The sequence below is a fragment of the Homo sapiens genome, chromosome 2 (genome assembly GCF_000001405.40).
Source record: "Homo sapiens chromosome 2, GRCh38.p14 Primary Assembly".
NCBI lineage: Eukaryota > Metazoa > Chordata > Mammalia > Primates > Hominidae > Homo > Homo sapiens.
In genome coordinates this window covers 190,042,413-190,054,953 of record NC_000002.12, presented here as the reverse complement: position 1 = coordinate 190,054,953, position 12,541 = coordinate 190,042,413, and the positions used below count along the sequence as shown (strand labels likewise).

Genomic DNA, 12,541 nt, shown 5'->3' with positions numbered 1-12,541 from the left:
ATGGTATTTCTAGTTCTAGATCCCTGAGGAATTGCCACACTGACTTCCACAATGGTTGAACTAGTTTACAGTTCCACCAACAGTGTAAAATTGTTCCTATTTCTCCACATCCTCTCCAGCACCTGTTGTTTCCTGACTTTTTAATGATCTCCATTCTAGCTGGTGTGAGATGGTATCTCATTGTGGTTTTGATTTGCATTTCTCTGATGGCCAGTGATGATGAGCATTTTTTCATGTGTCTTTTGGCTGCATAAATGTCTTCTTTTGAGAAGTGTCTGTTCATATCCTTCACCCACTTTTTGATGGGTTTTATTCTTGTAAATTTGTTGGAGTTCATTGTAGATTCTGGATATTAGCCCTTTGTCAGATGAGTAGGTTGCAAAAATTTTCTCCCATTCTGTAGGTTGCCTGGTCACTCTGATGGTAGTTTCTTTTGCTGTGCAGAAGCTCTTTAATTAGATTCCATTTGTCAATTTTGGCTTTTGTTGCCATTGCTTTTGGTGTTTTAGACATGAAGTCCTTGCCTATGCCTATGTCCTGAATGATATTGCCTAGATTTTCTTCTAGGGTTTTTATGGTTTTAGGTCTAACATTTAAGTCTTTAATCCATCTTGAATTAATTTTTGTATAAGGTGTAAGGAAGGGATCCAGTTTCAGCTTTCTACATATGGCTAGCCAGTTTTCCCAGCACCATTTATTAAATAGGGAATCCTTTCCCTATTTCTTGTTTTTGTCTTGACCTGAAAACTATTTATATGTTTTCATAGGTTCAATTTCCAAATGCATTGCAGTTGGCAAGGGTATATGGTCCTAGAGTTACAAGTTCTACTGAAGCCACAGAGACACAAGGAAGCTACATTTTTTTCTTACCACTTAATGAAACTGGTACACTTATCTGAACTTTGTGAGCACCAATTTTCAAACTGAATTGCAAAACAGTTGTAAAGTACCTAGAAATCCTTAAGTGCAATAACATATATAAAAATTTTTTAAGTGATCCCTCCTCTCCACCCTCCATCAGTTTAGTAACTTAGTTATAAAGCAGTGACTAACTTTAATGGGGAAGATAATTAAAATTCTATGTGTTAATATTGCTAAATAGTGTATAATTAATATAAATGTCATTTCAATAGTTTCTATTTGTATATTAATTACATACAAATAGAAATCTAAATTCAAATATTGATTAAACTATAATATGATAAAATCCATTTCAAATATCAAATGATCACTTCTAAAAATAAAACATACGAGTACTACCAATAATATAACTAAGAAATGAAACTATAGGCAATGATAGGCAAGTCATGACTTGTCTGGCATGTGACATAAAGTGTTGAAATTTCATTTGCATGGTCATTCAGTTCCAGTTTACACACTGCAAAACGTATCAAAGCAAACTATACTATTTTGGTCATTCCTGAGTAAGATGTCGAGCAATGAAAAATGGTACTAAATTTAGTACCATTCATGCCTCGATGGCATTTTGCAGAGGAAGTATTTGGAAAATGAGTATATTTACGCTAGATAACACGCATGGTTTATAGCAAGTTTATCTTGGTTGCCATTCAAAACACTAGACAGAAGGAATATTTAAATATTTTTTCCTAGATTACACATCAAAATACTTCAATAGTATCATATCCTGTCAAGAACGCAAGATGTTCTTGAATGTAAGATTTTACATATGAGGCTGCCCAGACATAAAATGTATATAAAATAATGACAGACAACTCCTTAATAAGATAACTTATAAAGGTTGACTAGCTTATGTCAGGTTTAACATTACACTAAGTACTCCTGATATGGAACTGTATAGTTTGGCAATGATGCAAGACACACACGCTTTGTTTTCATTGATTCCACTTTTGGATTACTATAAGAAAGAAAAGTTTTTAACAGTATTATGCTATTGTTTCTGCTTCATAATAAAGCTGATGTTTTAAATAAGCACACACATATACTTTCTTAAAGATCAACTTTAATAAAATGTCATTTTATTAGTTCTATATATGCACTATAGGCAAAATATTATTCACTAGTATAAATTCATAGAAATGTAAAACATAATACCAGATTCTGATCCTAATGAGATCTGTTGAAAACGTCTCCTGAGAAGGGCTAACAGCTATATTTGACTCAATTTATCTTAATGGTAACTTTAAACCAAAAATGTAAAAAAGATTAAATCACTAATTCAATCCTTTAATTTGTTATCCTAACCATTCAAAATTACTCTATTGAGAAACCTTTTCCTACAAGTGTTAAGGGTTTTTTCTCTTTAACGTCTTATGAAGGACACTATTCAGAACAAAATTTGATTATGCGGTTTGGGCCATAGATCCTCCACAAGATTTTCTCAGGTCCGCTCCCACAGACACTAAGTCTAAGAAGACAAATGTCTCTTGGCTGTATTCCCGTGGAACTCAGAACCTTGGCATTACCTCTCAACCAGCCCAAAACAAAACATGTCCATACAAGAAAGTATGCCTACATGATTTCATGAGATCCTGATAATGCTGAGATAGAATTCTGAAGGTGACAATCAAGCATAAAACACTGGTTTACTGAGCACACTAAAGTGACTATGGCAGAAAATCAAAATTGTTACATGGAAACAATTGAGTGGTCATTGAGGCAATCGCTAGGCTTCAGGATTCAAGAATATCTTCCTGAAAAGCTGCATACTTTTCAGGCAACTCAAGTAATGGAGTGAATTATATGGCTGCCTGCACCCTAGGTGAAGAATTCTACTGGGGAACACCAGGTCATCTTGGGCTCTGAATGAGGCCAGGTGCCATGGGATAAAAATTATAGTAAAGAAAAGTAGATCACGCCTGTAATCCCAGCACATTGGGAGGCTGAGGCGGGCGGATCACGAGGTCAGGAGATCAAGACCATCCTGACTAACACAGTGAAACACCGTCTCTACTAAAAAATACAAAAAAATTAGCCAGGCGTGGTGGCGGGCGCCTGTAGTCCCAGCTACTGAGGAGGCTGAGGCAGGAGAATGGCGTGAACCCGGGAGGTGGAGCTTGCAGTGAGCCGAGATTGCGCCACTGCACTCCAGCCTGGGCCACAGAGCAAGACTCTGTCTCAAAAATAAATAAATAAATAAATAAATAAATAAAAAATAAAAAAAATAAGAAAAGCAGATGAGTGTACTCCTCCCTACTTGTAGATATGCCTTGCCTGTAGATACGCCAGTAAAATTGTCCCAAAGTCTAGAATCTACCAAGACCTGTGTCTTACAGTGAACTTAAGTTCCTTACAGCACCAGACAGAATTCCACCAAAGTTGCAAAGGACTGATGCAAACCTAAAGAGATTCCTATCTTCTCATTGGCCAGAGTGCATACCTGTGACTGAAACAAATTGCACCAAGTAAGTTTCTTATGGGAGAATTAGCTCTGCAACTGCAGGGCCAGCAGAAGTCCTTCCTTCACTGAGACAGGTGTGTGGACTATGAATAGTGAGCCCTATCCAGCTTGACCAGACAGATGTTCCACCAAAGATTCCTCATCCTGGCCAAAGACAGCAGTGTCATCTCAGGGCAGTGATTGTGACAGTGGCTGGAATCTGGCCATATATATATTGACACAGCCTTACCTAGTACATTACCTGGTTAGTGTATTTGGCCCTCATATATTCTCTTCAGCTTAATAAGGAATAAATTACTTATAGGAAATTGGACAAGACCCATGAGTATGACTTACAGAAGAAAATCACATTATATAGGAATTATTATCTCCATTTTGGAAATGAGGAAGTTGAGGCTCAGAGAGATGCACGAGTAATAAATGACTAAGATGGGTATATACATAATGTAAGAAATACAAATGTAGAGATACAATTTTTCACAGTCATTAACTCAGGTGTGAAAAACTGTAACTTTTGATTTCTTACAAAATTGACCAGCTTTTACTTGAAGCCTCCTCATGCTACATCACCATTTCTACTTTGTAGATGCAACATCATCGGGAACCACTCTAATGAAGCTCCTCTCCACGGACCTCACACAGAAAATGATGTACAATATCCATATCCCCCCGTTCTCAAATGTCTGAACTTCTAGGAGAGGTGTAATATCTCTAATTCCTTACATCCAGTTCAGCTCATGAGGGAGGGCATCACAAAAATACCAGTGTCTGAAGCCTCTCTCTTCCCAACAAATTGTCTCCTGTCATTGGCTCATGAGATCTTTAAGTGAAAAGATATAGAAATAGATTCTGACTGACTGGCTCTATTTACTATTTCTTTGTATTTGATACCTGAGCCTAGACTCTTGCACTTGCTACCATTTTTTTCTGATTCTGATCTGACAAGTAGAATCCTGGAAAAATGTAACTTCTTAATAAACCACATTATTAATTCTCACTAATGATAAAAATGTAACTTAAAATGAGATGACATCCTTTCACCTACAACTGCACTAAATTTTATGTTAATATCTAGTGTTATTAGTAAGCGTGATCAGAAATAAACACTCTACACTGTACATTAGCTGTAAAAAGGCCCTGCCCAGTACCTTCCAATTTTTAACATTAAACTAAATTTGGCCTGAGGCAACCTCCATACCTCCCTATGTAACTGAAGGGCAATCTAACTTATTAAGTAAACAAACTGAAAGCCTGACTTGGGGGTATATTTTATAACAAATAGCTGCATGTCAGCCAATCACAGCAGCTGAGCTTCAGCCAGTCTCAGGCAGGCAACATGTCCAAATAAGGCAAACACAGATCTATAACCAACCAAGCTGTTTCTGTACTTCACTTCAATTTTCTGTCTGTAAATGCTGCCTGTCTACATTGCACAGCAGAGCTCTCTCAACCTCTTCTGGTTCTGAGGGCTGCCTGACTAGCAAATTGTTCTTTGTTCAAATAAACCTTGCTTTATTTTTCAAAAGTTGTTCTTTTAACAGTAACAAGATCCTTAGGGGTTCTAATGGTGATTCCACTTCTAAAATTTTATCCTCCCCCCAAAATGCAAACATTTATGTAAAACTAGAGTTATTATTTTTAAGGTTGGAAATAACATACATTCTAAATACAGGAAAATGGTTACAATTGATTTAGTAGATATATATGTGTATCCCTAAATATACATGATACATGTGTGTACACACATGCTATACACATATTTATCTACTTAGAATACATTCAGCTGTAAATAACAGAAATCCCAATTCAAATAGGACTTAATAGAAAAGCTGATTATCTCATAGAAGTTCAGATGTAAGGGAACTCTAGGTAGAGAATGATAGGTAGCTTAGTAATATCAGTGAAGGCTTAAATGCTTTCCACTGCTTCACTCTGCCATGCTCATTGCATTTGTTTGGCCGTGATATTGTCTCTACAATTACAAGATGGCTACTGCAGTTTACATGACAACGTCCAGGTATATTGAAGAAAGGAAGCCACACTGCATGTGGGTTCGTGAAAAATTTCCTTTGCAGAATCAAAGAATATGATTATATTTAATTTTAATCAATACAATTTGCACTCTGTAGAAGTTGTGCCAATTTACATTTTTATTATAATGTATGAGATTACCTATTTTCCCATACCCTCATCATTTATATTTCTAGTCTGATAGGTGAAAAATGGCATCAGATCATGAGTTTCATTGCATTTCTCTTATTTTAAGTAAGGTTATTAATCTTATTTAAGTAAGGATTGCTTGTACTTCCTTTTCTAGTAATTGCTTTTATCCTTCACTCATTTTTTTTTCTATTAGGTTGTTGGTATTTCTTTAAAGAAATCTATGTATTTAAGAAGATAGCCCTTTATGCATGACAAAAACTGCAACTCTTTATTCCAAGATTTCTATTTCTCTTTTGACTTTATGATTTCTTGCGTTTTTAATGCAGAATTTAAAAATATTTGTATGATGTCACATACTTTAGTCTTTATTTATGGCTTCCAGTTTTTTTGGTAATACTTAGAAAGGCCTACTCCTCTATGTGAGGAGTATATTCCAAAATGCATCTTATATTTTATTTTAATACTTTTATGATTTAGTTATTTACTTTTAAAATCTTTAATTCATCTCAACTCCATTTTGTCATAAGTGTGAAGGAAGAATCCAATTTATTTTTCTTCAGCATGATTATTTAGTTGTTACCATTTATAATGCTATTTTTTCCCTGCTGATATAAAATGTAGAATGATGCCCAATGGACATCTCCTAATAACCACATGGATTCTGTTGACCTAAAGAAAGAAACTGAGGCAAAATTATTATAGGCAATTTATTTGAGCCTGGGTTGAGAACTGCAGCCTTAAACACACTTCCAAGTTGCCTTGGGGAGTACTCCACTCAGCCTTTGTTACAGGAAGGTTTTTTAAAAAATGTTTTCTTTTTAATTATTATGGATATATACTAGTTGTACGTGGGGGGATGGTTAATGGGTACTAGCAGGTTTTTAAAGGCAAAAGGGAAGGAGTGGGCTGATACAAAGTTGTCTGACAGGAATTCTCACTGGTTTATAGAAGTAACATTGAGTAGTGATTGGATATACATCATTGAACTAAACTATAGGGTATGAGTTATGGTGTCTAGCACATGGCATTCTATGGTTACTTGGTGTCAGTTAGTCTAGAGCCTACATAGCAAATGGCTTCAAGAGATAATTATTTAGCTCAAAGAGGAAGAGAGATGTGACTACTGTTACATGCCGTCATAGTTTATGCCTCTCTGGGCCTAAATTAAAAGGAGCTTGCATTCCTCAGATAAAAAGTTTTTCTTTCTTAATTCTTAGATCTAAAACATAATTTTCATAGAATTTAGTAATAGCACAGGATGCCTAGAGTAAAATCAAGAACCTCCTTGAAATCTAACCATAATCAAATCAGATAAATGCGAAAACAGTATGATGATTGATGTTTCTGTCTGGTCAGAAATAACTAGTTGCAACCCTACCCATATTCATCCATTTATTTCATCAAAGTTTTGAAGAGTCTACTATCATTATATTTTAACCCCCTTAAATGCAGGTGTCGGACATTTAGCTCACAACAACATAGTCCTTCTAGGACAGCATCCCTCACCTCTACTGAAGCCAAGATACCTTTCTTCCATGACTGCAGAGGAAAAAATTTACACATCCTTTCCCCCAAAAGACACAAAACTTCTCCTATCATTACATTAGTTGACTAGTCTCACCCGGTATGTCATTCAGCCTCTCAAAGGAATAACATTTTCTTCCACTGTTCCCAGAAAAGGAGGGCACAAGAACAATTCAGAATATCTCTGGTACTTTCCCTCTGAAGTAACATATCAATTCTATTCATACTTGTGTTCTATCAGACTTCACCCATTCATTGAGTTCAAGACTTGTACTACTGCGGGAACTATGGAGAGAGAAGGGGAGAGGAATAAATCATAATCTTCTCTCAAGGAAACACAGTCTAATGAGAGCAGAAAAGTAAACAGTAAAAGTAAAGCCTCATAAAATGTGACAAATAGTACCCAGTTGACACTTGTCCTGACAACTATGTGGATCCTTACACAAGGTGCTGCGGGAGAAGTGAGGAAAGTCACCTCCGCTGGACTGGGAGTTCACAACGACTTAAAGAGGAGGAGACGTCTGTTAGCAATGTCTTTAATGATGAAGAAAAGTTTGATGGATAAGTAAGAAGGAATAAATGGGAAAGAAGAAGGAAGAAGGGCATTCCAAAACCAAAGCAACAAACACACACACACATGAATGCAGGCATGGAAGAGCAGGGTGTCTTCCAGGTCCTGTGAGAAGTTCAGAATGGCTGGAAAGATAGGGTCTTGGGCAGTGAGTGAGAAGGAATGAGCCTTTAGGGGTGGATGGACACCGCTTGTATGTCCTTGTATGTCTCCCTGAGGAGTTTGTACTTGATACTGTCAGTGAAGGGAGCCAGTGAAACATGTTAAGGAGGGAGTAATATGGTTATGTGTAATTTTTCTTAAAAAACTCACTTTAAATAAGGTGTGTTGCCCTTTTTTTCTGTGTGTGTAAAAGTCCCTTTTAAAATCTGGTGAAGCCTATATATCACTTCTCAGAATAATGGTTTAAATTCATTGTTTTAGAAAAGAAACCAATCATATTAACTATAACTTATAAAAATATTTTTAATGTGGGATATAATAGAAGCTGACAGCACAAAAAGTTATTAATAAAATAAATAACACCGCCTAGTAGAAAGTACTATCATAACTTAAAAGTAGTGATAAGCATAAATGAGATACCTGCAACAACTGCAATTTGATATTAGATACTTGTGATTTTTGTTAGTGACATGGTCACAGATATTATGAATAATCCTCTCATTTCAAGTCTATATTTAGAATGGAAAGATGCTGGTGCCTCTGACGCACTGAGCATCAGACTTCTAGAATGGAAAGATGTCAAATTTCAGTTAAATGTAAGTCAAAATAAAGATGTATTTTTTCCCATCCAATTCTCAGATCCTCTGAATTCTATATACTAGTATAAATGAAAGAGACTAGGGGTGGGAATGGGGACAAATGAATTCAATTAGAAATGACTAGTCAAGGGGAGAAGTGATAAAGGTCTGAATGTTAATAGCCACCATTAGTTGAGCACTTGTTATATTCCATGCATTGTTCAAAGTGTTTTCTAGATCATCTTATCTGCAGAGGTAAGACTATTATTATACGTATTTTATAGGTAAAAAAAAAACAAATCACAGAGAACTAAGAAACTTCAGAATGGGAGTGGCCAAGATGGCTGACTAGAAGCAGCTAAGGTGCATGACTCTCCTGGAGGGGAACAGAAGGAGCAAGTAAATACAGCACCTCAACTGAAACATCCAGGTACTCACGCTGGGACTAATCAAGGAAACAACTTGACCCATGGAGAATGAAGAAAAGCAAGACAGGACAATCGGCCACCCGGGAACAACACAGAGCCAGGGAACTTCCCCCACCAAGGGAAGCAGTGAGTGAATGTGCGACCCTGGGAAATCATGCTTCTCCCACGGATCTTTGCAACCCCCAGCTCAGGAGATCTTGTGAACCCACTCCACCAGGGCCTTCAGTCTGACAGACACGGCTATGTGGAGTCTTGGCAGAGCAGCTGTTCAGGCAAGCATGGAGACCCTGGAGCCTTAGATACTCAGGCTTTCTGACAAAAGTAGCTGCAGCTCTGGCAAAGTGGGAGTTTAGACCCCCGTACATACTACTAGGAAAGAGGCTCAATTGAGGCTGCTGAGCAGCGACAGCCTGCAGGCCCCACTTCCATGGCACCTCACAAGATAAGACCCACTGGCTTGGAAATTCCACCCAGCCACTGGTAGGAGCATTGCGCCTCCCTTAGAAGGCGCTCTTGGAGTTAGGGGTGGGCTTCCCATCTTTGCTGTTTGGGTGCCTTAGCCATTCCAGCCTTCAGGATTTGGAGAGTATGGGCCAGGGGGAAAGGGATCCCCCAACACAACACAGCTGCTCTACCAAAACATGGCCAAACTGCTGCTTTCAGTGGGTGCCCAATCCCATTCCTCCTCGCTGGGCAGGACCTCTCAGCCAGGGCCTTCAGCCGTGCCTCAACCATGTTCTCCAGCTGACAGAAATTTGAAATCCCCCTGGGACGGTGCTTCCAGAGGGAGGGGTAGGACTCCATCTTTGCTGTTTGGGTGACTTAGCTGATCCAGCCTTTGGGCTTTGGAGAGTCCAAGCTGACCAGGGATAGAAGGGATCCTCCAGCACAGCACAGCTGCTCCACCAAAATGTGGCCAGACTGTTTCTTTAAGCGGGTCCAGATCCCATTCCTCCTCACTGGGTGGGACCTCCCAAAAGGGGCCTCCAGCCACCCCTGCCAGTGTCCTCTGGCTGATAGAGATTTGTAATCTTTTTGGGACAGCACTCTTAGAGGGAGGGGAGGGCCACCATGTTTGCTGTTTGAGTGACTTAGACATTCCAGCCTTCAGGCTTCGGAGTGCCTGAAGCAACTGGGGGCTGAAGTGGAACCCCAGTGCAGCACAGCTGCTCTACCAAATGTGACCTGACTGCTTTTGTAAGAGGGTCCTGGATCCCATTCCTCCTCATTGGGTGAGACCTACCAACCAGGGTCTCCAGTGACCTCCTACAGGTGCCTTTGGGCCGGCAACAGACCTGTACCTCCCTGGGACAAAGCTCCCAGAAAAAGGGACAAAGCTGCCATCTTTGCTGTTTCACAGCCTTCCCTGGTAATATCTCCAGGTACTGGAAAATATGAGGCAACTAGGGACTGGCCTAGGCAACTAGGCCCCAAGCATACTGCAGCAGCCTAACAGAAAAGTGACCAGCCTGTTACATGGGTGCCCATTCTAGTATCTCCTCACCAGGTAGGTCCTCCAGGTCTGGGCCTCCAGTCACCCCCCACCAGAGCTATCGAGCCAGTAGCAGCTTGGCAACTCCCTGGACAGAGCCTCTCAGGGCAACTAAAAGCCTCTTTGCTACTGCCTCTGCAGTAGAACTGCCCTTGACACCCTTGGACTAACGAAGGAGCAAAGACCCAAAGTGTCTTATCCACACCTCAAACAAGCTGCAGTTAACCCAAGGAGACTCCAGTCTATTTCCCATGGGCCCCACACTGCTCATCACCAGGCAGTAAACTCCTGGCTGGGGTCCACAGCACAAAGACACTCCATTCTGGGCTGATTGCACTGAGCAATTGCTGACCTGTATCTCTCTGGGTTGGAGACCACAGGAGACAAGCAAATGACCCTCAGCCACAACACTACTAAGATTCCTTCCTCTCTGCCTCCAAGCTGGGGAAGGAACATAAACACTGAGATCACCCCAGAACTACAGTGGGCAGCTCAGGAGTGCCAAGTCATAATCTACAGTCAGCACTCAAGGGGGAAAGGAACCCACACTTTCAAAGCATTGAGAGGGAACACAGCTGCAACTGTGAGGAAACACAGGGGAGCCACACAAGTAAGCAGGAGTCTACCAACTGACTGAGAAACCTAAGTGCCACCTGCTAAATCACACCCTAAAGTTTTAACACCAAAAATACCTCACTAACATATTCCCTTCTGAAACCAGAGACAAGAAGTCAGCTTCACATAAAGATCCTGCACAAAGCCTTGGTTTGGTGAAAACACCCAGAAAAGAAGTCTATTGACTGTACTCAATGTACACTGCACTTAAAGGAACACCCACACACAGTGAGGAGAAAGAACCAACATAAGATCTCCGGTAACTCAAATGGACAGAGTGTTGTACATCCTCCAAACGACTGCACCAGTTCTCCAACAAGAGTTCTTAACCAGACTGAACTGGCTGGCATGACAGAAATAGAATTCAGAACATGGATAGGAAAAAAGATCACTGAGATTTAAGAGGATGGCAAAACCCAATCCCAGGAAAATATGAATCACAATGAAGCAATACAGGAGCTGAAGGATGAAATAGCCAAGATAAAAAAGAACCTAACGGTTCTGACAGAGCTGAATAACACAATATAAGATTTTCACAATGTAGTCACAAGTATTAACAGCAGAATAAATCAAGCTGAAGGAAGACTCTCACAACCTGAAGACTGGTTCTCTGAAATCAGACAGCCAAAAATAAAGAAAAAAGAATAAAAAGGAATGAACAAAATCTCTAGAAGTATGGCATTATGTAAAGGGGCCAAATCTATGAATCACTGGTATCCCAGAAAGGGAGGGGGAGAAAGCAAACAACTTGGAAAACATATTTCAGGATATTGTCCATGAAAACTTCCACAACCTTGCTAAAGAGGCCAACGATCAAATTCAGAAAATACAGAGAACTCCTGCAGGATACTACACAAGAAGATCACCCCCAAGACACATAATCATCAGATTTTCCAAGGTCAAAATGAAAGAAAGAATGTTAAAGGCAGCTAGAGAGAAAGGGCAGGTCACCTACAAAGGGAACCTGATCAAGCTAACAGCTGACCTCTCAGCTGAAACCCTAAAAGCCAGATGAGATTGGGGGTCTATATTCAACATTCTTAAAGAAAAAATCTTCAACCACAAATTTCATATCCAGCCAAACTAAACTTCTTAAGTGAAGGAGAAATAACATCATTTTCACAGAAGCAAATGTTGAGGGACTTCATTACCACCAGACCTGCCTTGCAAGAAATTTTGAAAGAAGCATAAATATAGAAAAGAAAGATCACTGCCAGCTAATACCTTAACACACTTATACATGCAGACCAGTGTCATACACAGACCAGTGTGTAAAGCAACCACACAAACAAATGACTCGTCTAGGACAGAAGTGATAAAGGTCTTAATGTTAATAGCCACTATTAATTGAGCACTTGTTATATTCTATGCATTGTTCAAATTCATAGCACTAAAAGCCCACATCAAAAAGTAAGAAAGGTCTCAAATTAACAACCTAACTTCACAACTGAAAGAATTAGAGAAGCAGGAACAAATCAATCCCAAAGCTAGCAGAAGACGAGAAATAACAAAAATCAGAGCTGAACTGAAGTAAATCAAGACACAGAAAACCACTCAAAAGATCAACAAATCCAGGAGTTGTTTTTTTGAAAAAAAAAATTAATAAAATACACCATTAGCTAGACTAAT

The 12,541-nt window shown here is 39.3% G+C and overlaps 1 protein-coding gene across 2 annotated transcripts in view; it reads right to left on the bottom strand.

The window, feature by feature from the left end:
• Positions 1-12,541, bottom strand: part of AKAP19 (A-kinase anchoring protein 19) — a 323,923-nt gene that overhangs the window by 148,531 nt on the left and 162,851 nt on the right. The window lies entirely within an intron of this gene.